The sequence below is a fragment of the Homo sapiens genome, chromosome 4, assembly GCF_000001405.40.
Source record: "Homo sapiens chromosome 4, GRCh38.p14 Primary Assembly".
NCBI classification, from domain to species: Eukaryota; Metazoa; Chordata; class Mammalia; order Primates; family Hominidae; genus Homo; species Homo sapiens.
Window position 1 is genome coordinate 38,461,173 of NC_000004.12, and position 19,643 is coordinate 38,480,815.

At 40.6% G+C, this 19,643-nt stretch overlaps 1 long non-coding RNA gene across 1 annotated transcript in view, besides 1 other annotated feature; it reads right to left on the minus strand.

Moving 5' to 3' along the window:
• The window catches only part of LINC01258 (long intergenic non-protein coding RNA 1258), a 102,519-nt gene that overhangs the window by 40,511 nt on the left and 42,365 nt on the right, over window positions 1–19,643 (minus strand). The window lies entirely within an intron of this gene.
• Window positions 15,664–16,163: an enhancer, noted in NCBI's record as "H3K4me1 hESC enhancer chr4:38478457-38478956 (GRCh37/hg19 assembly coordinates)". NCBI's record gives its function as "activates a minimal SCP1, AML or CMV promoter by ChIP-STARR-seq in naive and primed H9 embryonic stem cells {active_cell/tissue: H9 hESC(naive and primed)}" and the evidence as "EXISTENCE:reporter gene assay evidence [ECO:0000049][PMID:30033119]".

The following is a 19,643-nucleotide window of genomic DNA, read 5'->3' on the forward strand; positions in this document are numbered from 1 at the left end:
ATGAACTCTAGGCATTGACCTTGTCCATGACAAGTCCCCGGCTTGTTTTTCTCTTGTCTGTTGGATTTGCCAGAACAAATGTCCTGGCCTGAAATGGTTATTAATCTAATTTCTACTCTTCAGAGGGAGGTAGCTTTTCCCCATATTCTTCTAAGCTGGAATCTTGGTTTGGTCATTCACGTGGCAGCACAGGCTTGTTTTGACTGACATCTATGTTCCAGAACCTGATTGCAATACATCGTCCCCTCTGTCTGCCAGACGACTTTCCACCTCTTCATTTTTAAAGTCTCCGCTCCAGGATCTGCTCCCTGTCTTTTCTGAAAGAAGCCTCTAATGAGCTGCTCATTGGCAGAGCAGACATGATTGGCATTCCTTCAACCAATGAATGGCCAAGGCCTTCCTGTCTGGGTTAGCAGCTCCACCCCCTTCTCCAGCATCCTTTCCATCACTTCTTATCCTGGATTCCCTTCTCAGATCCCACCACCATAGGATTTAATAGTAAAGACACGGCTGGGCACGGTGGCTCACGCCTGTAACCCCAGCACTTTGGGAGGCCAAGGCAGGTGGATCACCTGAGGTCAGGAGTTCGAGACCAGCCTGGTCAACATGGGGAAACCCCGTCTCTACTAAAAATACAAAAATTAGCTGAGTGTGGTGGAGGGTGCCTGTAATCCCAGCTACTCGGGAGGCTGAGGCAGGAGAATCGCTTGAACCTGGGAAGCGAGGTTGCAGTGAGCCGAGATCACGCCACTGCACCAGCCTGGGCCACAGAGCAAGACTCCGCCTCAAAAAAAAAAAAAAAAAAAACAATAGTAAAGACACTTAAATATGTGTTAACTATTATAGTTCTAATTTTCACGAATAAGGAAATAACATCACAACTAAATTAGAAGTAAAATTTAACTTCTTACACTGTTCTACAAATTATATGCATGTATATATTATACATATATAAATGTTATATACACATACATATAAAACATTTCTTCTGCTATTATTATACCATGTATATACTGATTTAATCATTATAACAATTCTATGAAGTAGGTAGTATAATTCCCATTTTTCATATGAGAAAAGTGGAGGCACAGAGCAATAAAATCACTTGTTCGAGGTCATAGAACTGGTAAATGGTAGAGCTAGGATTCAAACCCAGATCTAGTCATGCCCTTAATTGATACACTTTGAGGTAGAAGAGTTCAGAGGAGAAACAACAGACCTAGCACAGGCAGGGAAGATGTCCTGGAAGGGGAGTGACCCAAACAAGACATGGTAATAGATAGGCTTTAGAAAGAAGAGAGGGAGAATGCACGAGCTACTGAATCAAAAACTCTGGAGGTGGCCCAGCCATCTGTGTTTTAACAAGCCTCGATTCTGATGCATACTCAAGTTTGAGAGCCACTGAATTATTTGATGCACATCAAATGCTTAGAGAACTGTGCCTGGCACATACTAACTGCTCTATCAGTGTTAAATATTATTATTAGCTGTAGGGCCTACAGATCTGCATCTGTGATCTGACCCCACCCAGGTCCTGCCCTGCTCTCCTGAGACCCTTAGGGGTCTCCACCCTGACAATGTGGACTGTCTGCTCTGAAGCACGTCTCTGCAGGCCTTCTGCAATCTCCCCTGACCAGTTTGCCCTGCACAGGGAGATTCTGACCCAGCTGCCTGCTAGGCCCAAAGTCTGCCCTGAAGCATCGCCTACTGGGTGGGGCCCACACCCTTCCCGGGTCTTGTCTTGGCAGAAGACGCCCTTCCTTGGAAGGAAGCTGGTGTTTGCCTAAGGCTTTGCATGTGAAAATGCCTCTGTGTGCCTTAAACCATCCTCCCAGCCCTACAGAAGAATTCAGAGCCAGGACCACTGCCCCCAAAACTGTTCCTTCTTTATGCACCCAAAGAGGTTTTGCATAAACTAAATATAATAAGTGGATGTGTATTTTATTCTTTTCGCTATAGTAATCTCTCCTTATCTTTGGGGGATATGTTCCAAGATTTCCAGTGGTTGCCTGAAACCACAGATAATACTGAACCCTATATATATATACTGTTTTTTTCCTATACATACGTACATATAATAAAGTTTAATTTATAAATTAGGCACAGAAAGAGATTAACAACAATAGCTGATAATAAAATAGAACAATTACAACATGTCAGCATCACTACTCTTGTGCTTTGGGGCCATTGTTAAGTTAAATAAGGGTTACTTGAACACAGGCCCTCTGACACCAGGGAGTTGATCTGATAACTGAGATGGCTGCTAATTGACTAACAGGTGGGTAGCATAGACAGCATGGATACGCTGGACAAAGCAATGACTCATTTCCCAGGCAGGAGGGATAAGGATGGAGAGATATTTCAATGTGCTACTCAGAGCACTGTGCAATTTAAAACTTAAGATCTGTTTATTTCCGGAATTTTCTATTTAATATTTTTGGACTGTGGTTGGTTGCAGATAAATGGCCAACTTAATGTCTCCCCAAATACAGTAGCCACCCCCCACATCTTTGGAAAACGAAACCGCAAATAAAGGAGGACTACTGTATTGGGGAAGAGATTAAGTTGGGCCATTTTATCTACAGAGTCCATTGAATTAGATATTGCTGACTACTTGAAACAAAAACTTTATTAACTGTTTCCGTTTAAAATGTGTGCAGCATCACTTTTCTGCAGGCGTGATTATGGCAACATTTTTTGGGCCTCATTTTTTGGGCCACAGGCAACTAGGACCAATAGGAACTTGGCAATATCTACAGACCCACTTCCTGGACCCTCCTGCTTGAGGGCTGGGGGGGCATCCCAAACGAGGTTTATTTAGAGCGTTCCAGAGACAAAATGCTGGAATAACATACTAACCAAATTCAATCAGGGCTAGATGCAAGACCACCTTCACAGTCACCATTTTGAAATGTTTAATCATTTTTGAACAAGGAGTGCTGCATTGTTAGCTCACAGGGCTCCATGAATTACGTTGCTAAGATGGTCCTGCTAAAATGTCTGAGTTGGAGGTGGGGGAACAAAAGAATAAAGAAGCGGAAATCAGAGTTGCTAGTCAAGATCTCCATCAGTTTCTTCTAGGTCCTGAATTCTCAACTTTAACCTCAATGACCTTCCCTGGAGAGCACAGCCTTAATAGACCATGCTGCCATCTTGTAGTAGTTAAGAGTGCAAACTCAGGCTGGTTCGGTTCAAAAAGACTGACTGATCTGGTTCAAAACCTAAGTCTACAATGGATCAGCCCTGGCGACTCTGTCCAAGTTCCCCAATTGCTTTATGCCTCTATTTGCTCATCTATAAAGTGGCAAAACCAATCACAGGCACCTCTTCCCAAGCCCCAGAGGGATACTGTGAAACTTAATGAGGAAATGAGAACGGAGTGCACAGCAGAGTGCACTCATGTAGTGAGTGCTTGTGAATGTCAGCTTTAAACGTAAGGTTACATGTTTTGCCATAAGGCATTTGAATAGAGAGACTATGACAAGAGCAGAAAACTTGGGTCACATTGTGAAAAAAGGCAGATGCTGATGACTTTCACTTTTTCAACCCAGAGAAGGACCTATGAGGAGTGACCTACTTCTTCTGACCTCCTATTGTTGCTGCTGGTTTAAATGTTTTGTTGTTGTTGCTGTTTTTTATTGTAAATCTGTAGTAATAGGTGCCTGAGTTTTTTATCTTACATTCAAAGGAAGCAGAATTTATACAAAAGAGGATGAGGATGGGTGGGGCTGTGGGGACAAGCTTTATAAAGGGAGCCAGAGGAGCCAGGCCCCGTCCAGACTTAGCCGTGCTTGTAAACAGGATCCGGTTCTTGCAAATGTGTGAATCTTGATAGTTTACTTTTTTTTTTTTTTTTCTGTTCTAGAGAGTTGGAGAGAGGTTGGAGTGTTTATCTTTGTTTGCATCTCACATTTTCCAGGGGATAAGGATTTGCCTTCCCTGGACCAAGATGGCTGAGAGATCAGAGGGAGCAGAGCAGTTAGGGAAAATGGTGAGAGATTCTCATCTTCTCTCTCTACCACCACCAACCACCACCACCTCCTCCTCTGCGGCTGAAAGGAGAGGGAGATAGGCAGCCAGAAACACACCTGAGGTCTTCTCTCTAGGGAGAAATTTCCTTAGCCCATTAAAGAAATATATATATTCACGGCCAGGCACGGTGGCTCACGCCTATAATCCCAGCACTTTGGGAGGCCAAGGCGGGCAGATCACCTGAGGTCAGGAGTTCAAGACCAGTCTGGCCAACATGGTGAAACCCCACCTTTACTAAAAATACAAAATTAGCCGGGCGTGGTGCCACATGCTTGTAATCCCAGCTACCCAGGAGGCTGAGGCAGGAGAATTGCTGGGCCCAGGAGGTGGAGGCTGCAGTGAGCCAAGATCATGCCACTGCACTACAGCATGGGCTACAGAGGGAGACTCTGTCTCAAAAAAAAAAAAAAAAAAAAGAAAGAGAGAGAGAAAGAAAGAAAGAAAGAAAGAAAGAAAGAAAGAAAGAAAGAATCTAAATAAAATTTTAAAATCCTTTAACTGTAGGTGGGAGGGAGGGATGAATTAGCAGATCACAGAGGACATTTAGGGCAGTGGAACTTTCTGTATGATACTATAATCATGGGTACATGCTATTACACATTAATCAAAACCCATAGAAGGTACTCCATCAAGAGTGGACCCCTGAAGAAAACTATGAACTTTGGGTGATGATGTGCCAATCTGGACTGATCAAGTGTAACAAATGTACCACTGTGATATGAGATGTCTGTATTTGGGGAGGTGGTTTACATGTGGGAACAACGGTCTCTGAGAAATCTCTGTACTTTTTGCTGTATTTTACTGTGAATCTAAAATTGCTCTAAAAAAAGAAATTTTATTAATTAAAAAAATAATAATCTTTCCACTTTCCCCCATAGTAGGTCCTACTATTGGCAGAAAAAATACTTGGACCAAGACAGAGGCCATCTGGAAGGGTGTTGATGCTGCTCCCTCCCAGGAAGTCACCTAAAGAGTCAGGCTGATGAAGCTCCCAATGGGCTGGGCGGCCACACATTATGCTCCTTAATCACGTTATTCACGGTGAGACTCCAAGGATATTCATGTGGATGACATACTTAGTGCTGATACAATCTTGAGTGTTTTGGTGAGAACATTTTAAAAGGCACTGTAAAACTTTTTAGACATAAATATAGCCAGTTTCTTATGGCACCTAAACTGCTAAGTAGTACCTTGATAGTAGAGATTTCAAAAGTATTCACATTAAAACATCCAGGTGAACATTAATTGGTGCTAAAGGGAAAACAACCAGCTAACACCCTGATGCTGACAGCTAGAAATGTTGGTGATGTAGCTTCCTAGTCCCCAGGCATGCTGGGTGCTATCTATAGAAGATAAGTGACTCAGCACCTGCCCAGCCAAATCCTGATTCATGACCCTCCTTCTCCAACTCCACCCTGTGGCCCCCAAAAGAAAAAAACTCAGAATTTCCCTGAGCAGTCCAACCAAGTAGGCCAACCCTTGGGGAAAAAAACATATCGATACTGTCTCTAGCTGCCATAGCTGAACTTCCACTTCCTGAGGCAACCAGCCCCACTGGAGCTAATGGGTCTCCCCCATGAACCTAGACAGTTCCCTGAGACTGTGTGAAAGAAGGACCCAGTGAACACAAAGTCAGTTGAAGACATCTGAGCCAAGTAGGAGAAAAAAATGCATACAGGACCACACACGCTCAGTTCCATGTTGAGAGTTGCATCTCTCATCAGCTTCCTTGATCCTCAATCCAAATCAGTGAAACTTAGCAGGTTCATATTTTTTTCCTTATTTCATATTTTAATAACCACCATTGTATGAATACAGCACATACTTTATATATATGTCACAAACTTTATTTTCCATTTCTCAGCAATTAAAATCTCTGGCCTATGGCATTATATTGAGTGATGGACTTGGTAGCTTAGATGGCCATGGTCTATGACAGACCTGAGTTCAAAACGTGGCTCTGCCATTTACCACCTATAATGACATTGGACAAACTCTTTATTTCTCTAACCTAAATTTGTACATCTTCCACTAACCAATGCCTCATATTGATTTTGTGGAAATTACATGAGGAAATGAATAAAAAGTGATGAACACACTTAATATAGAGCATCAAAATACACAAAGCAAGAACTGATAGAACTGAAAGATAAAATAGACAAACCTGCTATTAGAGTTGGAGACTTCAACACTCCTCTGTCAGTAATTGACGATCCAGCCAGCAGAAAATCAGTAAGGACAGAGTTGACCTGAACAGTACTATCAATCAACTTGATCTAATTAACATTTACAGAATATTCTGTCCAACAGCAGCAGGATACATATTCTTCTCAAGCTTACATGGAGCATGCAGTAAGATAGACCACATTCTAGGCCATAAAGAGATGAACATGATGCCCATCACATAGTAAGTGCTTGAAAACTTTTGGCTCAAAACATACTCACTCAAATTAGAAATGATACTAACCATTTCTCAAAATCCATTGAGACTGTTCTTGGCACTTGACTTGCATTAGCTCTGATCAATGCTTACAAGGTAAATATTATTGTACCCATTTTCCCAAATTCAATGTTAATAAGTTAGCAATATCTGTAAAGTAGTAGACTGTGGCACTGTTTCAATAAGCTCTATTTGGTAATGATAATATTAATAAGATTATTATTAAAATAAATACCTAAGACTTATTTACCATTTATCATGTGCCAGCCACTATTTTAAAGATACACAAATTAGTCATTTAATCTTCACAATAACTTTATAAATTTGGTGCTATTTTTATCCCTGATCTTACCAATGAGGAAACTGAGGCTCAGAGGGATTAATTAGCTAGTAATTGGTAGTGCTGGATTCCATTCCAGGCAATCTGGCTCCGGAGTCTGTGCACTTAATCTGACTAGAGGAAAACCAGAAGCATTATTTTGTTTCCTTTCATCACAGTACTGCTTTACTGGATGAAGATTTTATTCACAGGTTGGGGAAGAACAGATCTTTCCCTGACCTTTTTGCTTCTGAAAGCCAAGATTCCTCAAGGACAGTTTCTCTTTATTTATTCTCAGATAGCTTTCTAACATTTTCATTATTGCTTTTGAGCCAGTCTGTGTGTGTGTGTGTACTGCTATAGTGTGTGTGTGTACTCCTATAGAAAAAGTGGAAACTTAGAAAAATATAAAGAATAAACCTATTACTTTATATCCCACTCATAATCACCTAATACTTTGGTGTGTCTCCTCCTTCTATGCATGTTTTTTTTTTTCCAAAAGCTGGGGTCACGTACAGTATCATGTACTTTTAAAGCCAGACCTGCAATCCTGTGCCCATTCCTGATGTATGTCCATATTCACAGCATTTTGCTTACAGACATTTGCTCAGTTGGCATGGAGAACATTAGGAGTGGGTGAGGTTCCATTAGACCAACCCAAATTTTCCTACTCATCTCCCTCCCTTTTCAACTGAGAGTGATTTCTATTTTTGCTCACTGTTAGCAGTGACATGTCTAATGGGAGCTGAATGACTGTGTCGTACAATCTAGAGGCAGAGCAAGCAGAATCCATCTAGAAAGAAACAGCAAAAAGGAAATCTGTTTAAGTCCAACCTCCCAACACTCATGGTACCCTCCTCCCCACCGCCTCTCCTTCAGAGCTTGGCACACATTGTGAACCTGTTTGCTAAAATCTCACACTCCATTTCCCCTGATTTCCTACTTTGCCCCAGGTCCTTGGCTACATTAGAGCAAAGTTTACATTTACCAAGAGACAGGTTATAAAATGAAGAGCTCTTATATTTCATTTTGGGCATTTGTTTGGCATGGGATTACCTCCAAACCTTGTTTTTCCACAAACACCTAATGGAATCACTAATTAATTACCCCACTGGAGCAAGAACAGTGTAAGAAAGACGTATTTAGATTCAGCAGATAATCAAATCAGATCAGATTAATTTTGCTTAGATTTCTTTTCATATAGCACTTAAGAGTCTAATTCTGGCCTCAAAGCAAGCCATAAAATAGGTCACTTCAACAAAGCTGAAAAAAACAACTAGGCTGTTACACACCACTTGTGTGACATGATGTGAGTAGTAAAACACTGATCCAATTTCAAGCAGATTAGGGTCACGATTTTCAGCAAAATCAAACATTTCAGCACTTGGTCTACCATGGAAGGGCTTTGGCCACCATTCACTGCTGGCGGTGATGGTGGGCAGGTAGTCGCCTTCCTAGAAAATGCTAACTGATGGCCCTAAGACCCAGTCTTGTAAAATGGCAGCTAATTGCCAGGCATCCTGTTTGTGGTTCCCAGACTGTTTCACTTTGCTTAAAGTCGAGTCACCTAGCCAGAGTAATTGCATGGGGTACAGCCAAGCCAATGGAAAGGCTTGCATTTAAGAGACTGCCACCACTCAGGCCAGCCCCAGCCCAGCCCCAGCCCTAGGACAGGGTTGGCCCCAGCCCCACCTGATGAAGCTACCGATTGTCTTCAGGGAGGGATCCACAGAATGCTATGCTAAAGTGTCCTGTTAGGGCTTGTCACACCTGGGACTAAGCTGGCCACTGCTGGGGCTTGTCTCTTGAGGCTATAAGGGGGAAATTAATTGCAACAGCTGTGGCCTAATGTGTCCCTAAGCACCTTTTTGATCTGATGGTAAAGACAACAACAGAGAAAATAATATTAATATATCTAAAATGCTCAAGGATGTTTCCCCAAGGTTCAGCTGGGTGTGGTTTTGACCTAATCATGCCAGGATCACATGAAAACCATGCTGGTTAACTTTTAAACATTAACAATGACAGTTGATGGGCACATAATGACTGTCAAGAATTATATGTGTTTCCGAGCATTTATTTACTTAATCTTGTAAAAATTAAGCTATGACTTCTGCAACTCCTGGTCAAAGCAGGTAACTCCTTAAACAAAAGTTACCTGCTTTGACCTTAACATAGTACATTGAAGTGTTTCTATGAGTTGTATGTGTTTCTGGGGTTTTATTTAATGAATCCAATAATTTCATTTTTTTTTAATGTTTGATCTCTTATTGCAAAGTTTAAGAGTTTTACGTTACATAAAAATAGCTGTAAGAACTCTATGAAACACAGAAAAAAATATCCACTGAGGTGTTGGAGGAGAGATTGAATTCATTCTGACTGAAATGCAAGTCTGCAAAATAGAAGGCAGAGAATTTTGAAAAAAGAATGGAATAACCAGAAATAATAAGAGCAAAAATGAGAGGATTCTGAATAAACAGAAATATGAAATATTAATAATTCCCAAGATGTAATCAGTGAGAAAGAATATAGCATAAGCAAAGTCTTTTATAAACAGGAACGAGCTATCACATAGGTGCCAAACAAAAACATTAAAATTTGACATAATGAAAATGTTTCACTTGTTAAATTTAACCTAAAGTGGCCTCTTTGTAAATTTGGCCTAAAGATGTCTCTGTACATAGTGAACTATAACCTAACTGGATGTGTAGACAGATTGTAACCTACTCTTATGCCAAACACTGAATTTCAGCCAATCAAATGTGGCCAACTCTTCAAATTGTGTTCAAATAAGGCAAATGCCGACCTGTAACCAATCTGGCTGTTTCTGTACCTCACCTCCATTTTCTGTACATCACTGTCCTTTTTCTGCTCATAAATCTTCAACCACAAGGTAGCACTGGAATCTCTATGAACCTATTCTGGTTTGGGGGCTGCCCAATTCATGAATCATTTTTTGCTCAACTAAATTCTTTAAATTTGATTTGTCTGAGGTTTTTCTTTTAACACACTCAATCCATTGTGTGTAAGAGACAAGCCAGGCACCCACCAATCCATTTTCCTCTTCCTCCTGGACACACAACTAGACTACATTTCCCAGACTTCCCTGCAGTTAGCTTTAGCCCTGTGCCTAAGTTCTGGTAAGGGGATGTGAGTCAGAAGCCATGTTCACCAACTCCATGCTTGGCCAGGTGCCTCTCATGCAATCCACCATGACTTTTCTCTCTTTTCTCATCTACTAGCTAAATGCTGAGAATCCAGCAGAGGACTTCGAGGCTTAAGAGTATAGTGGAGGCCAGGTGCGGTGGCTCACACCTGTTCATCCCAGCACTTAGGGAGGCTGAAGCAGGCAGATCACCTGAGGTCAGGAGTTTAAAACCAGCCTGGCCAACATGGTGAAAACCTGTCTCTACTAAAAATACAGAAATTTAGCCAACCATATTGGTGGGTCCCTGTAATCCCAGCTACTCAGGAGGCTGAGGTGGGAGAATCGCCTGAACCCGGGAGGCAGAGGTTGCAGTGAGCCGAGATTGCTCCCAATCCGGCCTGGGCAACAAGAGCAAAACTCTGTCTCAAAAAAGTGGAGCTGCTAGGTAAAGGAGAAGACCCTCTGCCATGTTGGGCTGCAAGGTGAACAAGAGATAACTACTGGGCCAAGCCACTGAGATATGGGGCTAACACACACTGAGGAGTGATCTCTTAGATTGCAAGTACAAGACACATCCAAAGCAAATTGATAGGCTATGTACGCCAGGGCAGAACTCTGTTACCATTGATGGTACAAGATTGCTTCACCTCTTATATTTATTCAGGGACAAATTTAAGTTGTTCTTTCAAAGATTTCATTATTAGACCCTTTAACATGTTGGATTTGAAAAGTAAAAGAGTCTTTATGATGTTTAGAATAAACTATTATAATCAAACATGTCATCATATTATGAATAACAGTTACATATAGTAAACACAGTTATAGTGTTGTTAAAGTCCAAAGAAAACATTTTATCTAACATCATGTAAGACAAAAGCACTAAATTTTATTTTACATCATCTTCTCTCAAACCTCTACACTTTTCTCCTATGGGAATTTTCTGACTATCCATGACTTCAGTTACAATCTATGTGTTGGTGACACTCAGATCTACATCTGCAGTCCAGATATGTATCTCTAACCCAGATTTTTCTCAAGATTTGAACCATGTATCCAGTTGCTTCCTGGGAATTTTCACTTGGGTGCCCAACATAACAGGAATCCAAATGCATAAGTCATTGAGCTACAAAGGACTAGTAGAAATTACCTTTATTGGATACTGTAGGTTATCTCCTTAGTATTAATTTCCCTTCACTTTTCCATTTTCTTCCTTCCAAAGAGAACACAGATTTGGTTCATGTATGTATGCCTCTCCACCCAGCAATGTCCCTAGGGGAAGCTGACCCCACTCTCAACTCCAGGGGTGATCTGTTTAGGCTGATCTGTTCAGGACTGAACCAAATGTGCCAATGACAGTTGTAGAGGTGTCTGCTGGAAGGGCTCTGGGAAAACTTTCCTTACTCCTTAGAAAGAACTACAAGAAAAGACAGGAAAGAGGGGCAGGTGAAAGTGGGGAGGGGAAGCAACAAGGAAAAACAGGCATAGAGTACAGCCTAGAGATTCAGTGCACGTGTTCTTATGCTAGATTGCCTGGGTTTGAATCTACCACTTACAAATTATGTACCTTCAGTAAATTACTTAGTCTTTCAATGCCTCAGCTTTTTTCATTTGTAAAATGAGTTTTGAGGGAGAAAACAAATGAGTTAATGTATGCAATGTATATAAACTCACATAGTAAGCACCATATGACTCTTGCTAATTATTATGTTGCTCTGAATGTTGTTTGCTTACAACTGCTAGCATCATCTTGCTATAAGCCTGAGGATTACATAAACTCAGGATTACATAAACTCCAAGGATGCAAGGAAATTTGAAGCAACGTTCTTAAAAAATCCACTGAAGCAAAAAAAAGACAAAAAGAAAAGAAAGAACCTAAGTCTTCAGTGATGTGGCTGTCAGGATCATTCGACCCTCTACCCTGCTATGCAGCCTGTCATATAGGATTAGAAACTCCATTACTGTTCAAGTCTTATTGTTTGGATTAAGTTTTCTGTTACTTGCAGCCAAATGCATCAACTTGACACATTAAAACTAGTATAGGGCTGTCAAAACTTTCTGAAACCATGGAATCTTTTTTTAAAAATTATTAATAACATGAGTAAAAAACTGAATTTTTCCTATTAAAGAATGAAAACATTTTAGATAAGGTTAAAGTCCTTTCTGATTAACCATCTCCAGTTCTCATCCACTTCTTTCCCCATCCCCAGAGGTAACCACAGTGTACATCTTTTGTATGTGTTCTTTTATAATTTTTAATTTACTTATATAGATATCTGTATCCAAGGAAAATACATAGCATTGTTTGTATGTGTGTTAATGTAAGTGGTTTTATATTGTTGTTAAGTTGCTTCTTCAGTCAACAATGCATTTTAGAGAGGTAGTTATATTAGTATATAGATCAACTTTGTTTTTTGTAACTGTTACAAAGTATTTCGAAGTGTTAATATTCAACAGCTTATTTAGCCAACCACCAACTGATGGGCTATTATGTTTTTTTCAGTTTTATCTTATCTTTTTTGTTTGTTTTTGTTTTGTTTTGTTTTTTTGAGATGGAGTCTCACTCTGCTGCCCAGGCTGGAGTGCAATAGCACAATCTCGGCTCACTGCAACCACTGCCTCCCAGATTCAAGCAATTTTCCTGTCTCAGCCTCCTGAGTAGCTGGGACTACAGGTGTGCACCACCATTTTTGTATTTTTGGTAGGGACAGGTGTATTTTTGGTAGGGACAAGGTTTCACCATGTTGGCCAGACTCATCTTGAACTTCTGACCTCAAGTGATCCTCCCCACTCGGCCTCCCAAAGTGCTGGGATTATAGGTATGAGCCACCGTGCTCAGCCATATCTTTATGTTTTTTAATCCAATCTGACTGTATCTGATTTTCAATGCAGTTGTGTATCTTTTTAAAATATATTTTCTCCCAATTATATGGCCTTGGTATGAAAAGAGGAGAGATACAGCAGGCACTCAATTCAACATCTTGAAACCACGAGTTGTGTCAACCATGAAATCTTTGTATATTTACATGTTTTGAGTTGTAATAATATGTGTGCGTATTAAAGTGGTGCTAGAATACTCCAAAGTAAATGAATTATTCATGAAGCTATCCAGATAAGAACATCAGGGTGATAGCCTTGGAGGTTATAATAAGCTTTTCACTTTTTTACAGAGATTTAATTTAAGGGTTAATAAAGCAAACTGCTAATTTCATTGACCATTAATGAAATTAAACCACTAATGAAGTAAAACTATTCATCTAATTTACTAAACTTCACTCAAGTAAACTTACTAAAGTTGAAAAAAGTTTATTAAATTCAAACTGATGAGATTAGGTTATTTCTGAACTCAGGTTCTATTTTCTTGTGTACTGTCAAATAGGATTCTTATATTCATTTGTTACTAAGTATACCCAAGTATAAGAAAAGCAATGATTAACATTTGTTTATCTTTTGGTAAATTCATTTATCTAATTTACTATTTATTAGTAAGTGATGAATAGTAAATTATTCATCTAATTTACTAAACTTCATTCAAGTTTAGTAAATTACTTCAATTTAGTAAATTCAGTAAATTAATCTAATTTACTAAACTTTATTCAAGTTTAGTAAATTTACTTGAATGAAGTTTAGTAAATTAGATGAATAGTTTACTATTCATCATTTACTATTGAATAGTAAATTAGATAAATGAATTTACGAAAAGATAAATAAATGTTAATCATTGCTTTTCCTATACTTGGATAGACTTAGTAACAAATGTACTACTAACGAATATAAGACTGCTATTTGACAATACACAAGAAAATAGAACCTAAGTTCAGAAATAACCTAATCTCATCAATTTGATCCATGAAAAGAATTCAGCAATTTTACAAAATTTTCAAGGCCTAGACGTAATTTGGTAAAAACCTCCAAGCACCCACAGCTGTTGTACAAAACAGTTAGGAAACTCACTCTTGGTTTTAATGATTTTCAAACTATTTTTAGCAGGGTCTCTGTGGCTCCTACAGTGACTTTGGAGCCACTTGGGAAGATAAGGAATGGAAAAGAGAAGAAATGTGGCTTCAGCCGTGCCCTCACCTCAACCAAACAACATCACTTTTCATGAGTTCTATATAAGGTTTCACTTGAAAAACTAATTCAGCTACCAAAAAAAAAAAAAAAAGAGATGATCTGTTCCACCATTTCCATCTCCAGTAAAGCTAATCCTAAATCCTTCATAGGCACATAACATGTATCCTCTTTGAAATGGCTTCAGAAAAGGGAATTTCTTTCACATCTCAGAGATGCCCATATCTTGATTAGGAAATTCTTCAGTGTTTCCAGCCCAGTTCCTTTAAGCTCAGCTTTCTCCGGTCATGCATCAATTTCATAGCAACCCTCATGTATTCGAAGATGATTATTTGGCTGCCCCTCAGCCTTCCCTGCTTCAGGCCAAATTGATCCTACTTCTTTTAATCCCTCTGTACAGATCCTACTTCCCAACATTTTTTGATCATCTCTGTGGGGTCCTTTTCTCTCTGAAACTTCTCCAAATTTCTTATATCTCTGTCCAATTACTGAAGCAAAAACCACATACCATAAAGTTGAGCACAATGGAAAAGAAAAGCCATCCTTCCACATAGCTCCTTTGGGCTTTAATTTGGTTCTTCTCCTGCCCTTCAAGATCTCTTTGATGACAGTGGTGAATTCAAGATGGCAACAAACTCTTTGACACTTCTCATCAAGAGGTATGGTTAATTTCATCTGCTCTTGAATCATGGCTGGCCTGTGACCAACACAGAATGGCAGAAGTAATACTATGCAAGGTTTGGTCTTCACCTTTAACAGGACCGGCAACTTCCACCTTGGCTTCTTAGAACACTTGCTCTGGCAGAGGCCAGCCAGCATGTAAAAAATCAGACCACCCTGAGATCTCCATGCTGTAAGAAAGCCCAAGCTAGCCATGTGGAGAGGCCACTATGAAGAGTGATGATCCACCAGCCCTCAGGTCTTCCAGCCATGTCAATCTTCAGAATCATGGGAGAATACTGAATGCTGTATTATACCACTATGTTTTCAGGTGCTTTATTATACAAAATAACCAGAATGATGGGCCTTTTTGTTTTTCAGCTTTATGATTTGTTTCCTTTCCCCCTTCCAGAGATCTTCCTGGACATTGGCCTTAAGGGCCCTAAAACTAAACGGGTGCAGCCTAAGGGTTCTACCATGAATTAACCCTATCTTATCTACCCACAAAAGTGATGATTTCCCCTGCTTGCTCTCTAGTTTTTTTTTTGCTTTGTGTCTTTTAAAAAATCATTTTACAAGAATATCTCAACAAATAGTTCCCATCAATGAGAATTTCTCTTGTATATATATTCTGCTTTCCTTAAAACAGTGTTTCTAAGATGGCCAAATAGGAACAGCTCCAGTCTACAGCTCCCAGTGTGAGCGACGCATAAGATGGGTGATTTCTGCATTTCCAACTGAGGTACCGGGTTCATCTCGTTGGAGCTTGTCAGACAGTGGGTGCAGGACAGTGGGTGCAGCACACCAAGCGTGAGCCAAAGCAGGGCGAGGCATCGCCTCACCCGGGAAGCACAAGTGGTCAGGGAAATCCCTTTCATAGCCAAGCAAAGCTGTGACAGATGGCAGCTGGAAAATCGGGTCTCTCCCACCCTAATACTGTGATTTTCCAATGGTCTTAGCAAACAGCACACCAGGAGATTATGTCCCGTGCCTGGCTCAGAGGGTCCCACGCCCACGGAGCCTCGCTCATTGCTAGCACAGCAGTCTGAGATAGAACTGCAAGGCAGCAGCCGGGCTGGGGGAGGGGAGCCCACCATTGCTGAGGCTTGAGTAGGTAAACAAAGCAGCCAGGAAGCTCGAACTGGGTGGAGCCCACCACAGCTCAAGGAGGCCTGCCTGCCTCTGTAGACTCCACCTCTGGGGGCAGGGCATAGCCCAACAAAAGGCAGCAGAAACCTCTGCAGACTTAAATGTCCCTGTCTGACAGCTTTGAAGAGAGTAATGGTTCTCCCAGCACAGAGTTTGAGATCTGAGAATGGACAGACTGCCCCCTCAAGTGGGTCCCTGACCCCCGAGTAGCCTATCTGGGAGGCACCCCCCACTAGGGGCAGACTGACATCTCGCACGGCCAGGTACCCCTCTGAGACGAAATCTCCAGAGGAACAATCAGACAGCAACATTTGCTGTTCAGCAATATTCGCTGTTCTGCAGCCTCCGCTGCTGATACCCAGGCAAACAGGGTCTGGAGTGGACCTCCAGCAAACTCCAACAGACCTGCTGCTGAGGGTCCTGACCGTTAGAAGGAACTAACAAACAGAAAGGACATCCACACCAAAACCCCATCTGTACGTCACCATCATCAAAGACCAAAGGTAGGTAAAACCACAAAGATGGGGAAAAAACAGAACAGAAAAACTGAAAATTCTAAAAATCAGCACCTCTCCTCCTCCAAAGGAACACAGCTCCTCACCAGCAACGGAACAAAGCTGGACAGAGAATGACTTTGACGAGTTGAGAGAAGAGGGCTTCAGATAATCAAACTACTCTGAGTACAGGAGAAAATTCAAACCAAAGGCAAAGAAGTTGAAAACTTTGAAAAAAATTTAGACGAATATATAACTAGAATAACCAATACAGAGAAGTGCTTAAAGGAGCCAATGGAGCTGAAAGCCAAGGCTCAAGAACTACGTGAAGAATGCAGAAGCCTCAGGAGCCAATGCAATCAACTGGAAGAAAGGGTATCAGTGATGGAAGATGAAATGAATGAAATGAAGTGAGAAGGGAAGTTTACAGAAAAAAGAATAAAAAGAAACAAACAAAGCCTCCAAGAAATATGGGACTATGTGAAAAGACCAAATCTGCATCTGATTGGTGTACCTGAAAGTGACGGGGAGAATGGAACCAAGTTGGAAAACACTCTGCAGGATATTATCCAGGAGAACTTCCCCAATCTAGCAAGGCAGGCCAACATTCAGATTCAGGAAACACAGAGAACACCACAAAGATACTCCTCGAGAAGAGCAACTCCAAGACACATAACTGTCAGATTCACCAAAGTTGAAATGAAGGAAAAAGTGTTAAGGGAAGCCAAAGAGAAAGGTCGGGTTACCCAAAAGGGAAGCCCATCAGACTAACAGCTGATCTCTCTGCAGAAAATCTACAAGCCAGAAGAGAGTGGGGGCCAATATTCAACATTCTGAAAGAAAAGAATTTTCAACCCAGAATTTCATATCCAGCCAAACTAAGCTTCACAAGTGAAGGAGAAATAAAATCCTTTACAGACAAGCAAATGCTGAGAGATTTTGCCACCACTAGGCCTGCCCTAAAAGAGCTCCTGAAGGAAGCACTAAACATGGGAAGGAACACCAGTACCAGCCACTGCAAAAACATGCCAAATTGTAAAGACCATCGAGGCTAGGAAGAAACTGCATCAACTAACGAGCAAAATAACCAGCTAACATCATAATGCCAGGATCAAATTCACACATGACAATATTAACCTTAAATGTAAATGGGCTAAATGCTCCAATTAAAAGACACAGACTGGCAAATTGGATAAAGAGTCAAGAGCCATCAGTGTGCTGTATTCAGGAAACCCATCTCACGTGCAGAGACACACATAGGCTCAAAATAAAGGGATGGAGTAAGATCTACCAAGCAAATGGAAAACAAAAAAAGGCAGGGGTTGCAATCCTAGTCTCTGATAAAACAGACTTTAAACCAACAAAGATCAAAAGAGACAAGGCCACTGCATAATGGTAAAGGGATTAATTCAACAAGAAGAGCTAACTATCCTAAATATATATGCACCCAATACAGGAGCACCCAGATTCATAAAGCAAGTCCTTAGAGACCTACAAAGAGACTTAGACTCCCACACAATAATAATGGGAGACTTTAAAACCCCACTGTCAACATTAGACAGATCAATGAGACAGAAAGTTAACAAGGATATCCAGGAATTGAACTCAGCTCTGCACCAAGCGGACCTAATAGGCATCTACAGAACTCTCCACCTCAAATCAACAGAATATACATTCTTCTCAGCACCACACCTATTCCAAAATTGACCACATAGTTGGAAGTAAAGCACTCCTCAGCAAATATAAAGAACAGAAATTATAACAAACTGTCTCTCAGACCACAGTGCAATCAAACTAGAACTCAGGATTAAGAAACTCACTCAAAACCACTCAACTACATGGAAACTGAACAACCTGCTCCTGAATGACTACTGGGTACACAACGAAATGAAGGCAGAAATAAAGATGTTCTTTGAAACCAACGGGAACAAAGACACAACATACCAGAATCTCTGGGAAACATTCAAAGCAGTGTGTAGAGGGAAATTTATAGCACTAAATGCCCACAAGAGAAAGCAGGAAAGATCTAAAACTGACACTCTAACATCACAATTAAAAGAACTAGAGAAGTAAGAGCAAACACATTCAAAAGCTAGCAGAAGGCAAGAAATAACTAAGATCAGAGCAGAACTGAAGGAAATAGAGGCACAAAAAACCCTTCAAAAAATCAGTGAATCCAGGAGCTGGTTTTTTGAAAAGATCAACAAAATTGATAGACCACTAGCAAGGCTAATAAAGAAGAAAAGAGAGAAGAATCAAATAGAAGCAATAAAAAACGATAAAGGGGATATCACCACCGATCCCACAGACATACAAACTGCCATCAGAGAATACTATAAACACCTCTACGCAAATAAACTAGAAAATCTAGAAGAAATGGATAAATTCCTGGACACATACACCCTCCCAAGACTAAACCAGGAAGAAGTTGAATCTCTGAATAGACCAATAACAGGCTCTGAAATTGAGGCAATAATTAATGGCTTACCAACCAAAAAAAATCCAGGACCAGATGGATTCACAGCTGAATTCTACCAGAGGTACAAGGAGGAGCTGGTACCATTCCTTCTGAAACTATTCCAAACAACAGAAAAAGAAGGAATCCTCCCTAACTTATTTTATGAAGTCAGCATCATCCTGACACCAAAGCCTGGCAGAGACACAACAAAAAAAGAGAATTTTAGACCAATATCCCTGATGAACATCAATGCAAAAATCCTCAATAAAATACTGGCAAACTGAATCCAGCAGCACATCAAAAAGCTTCTCCACCATGATCAAGTGGGCTTCATCCCTGGGATGCAAGGCTGGTTCAACATACGCAAATCAATAAACGTAATCCAGCATATAAACCACATGATTATCTCAATAGATGCAGAAAAGGCCTTCAACAAAATTCAACAGCCCTTCATGCTAAAAACTCTGAATAAATTAGGCATTGATGGGATGTATCTCAAAATAATAAGAGCTATTTATGACAAACCCACAGCCAATATCATACTGAATGGGCAAAAACTGGAAGCATTCCCTTTGAAAACTGGCACAAGACAGGGATGCCCTCTCTCACCACTCCCATTCAACATAATGTTGGAAGTTCTGGCCAGGGCAGTCAGGCAAGAGAAAGAAATAAAGGATATTCGATTAGGAAAAGAGGAAGTCAAATTGTCCCTGTTTGCAGATGACATGATTGTATATCTAGAAAACCCCATCATCTCAGCCCAAAATCTCCTTAAGCTGATAAGCAACTTCAGCAAAGTCTCAGGATACAAAATCAATGTGCAAAAACCACAAGCATTCTTATACACCAATAATAGACAAACAGCCAAATCATGA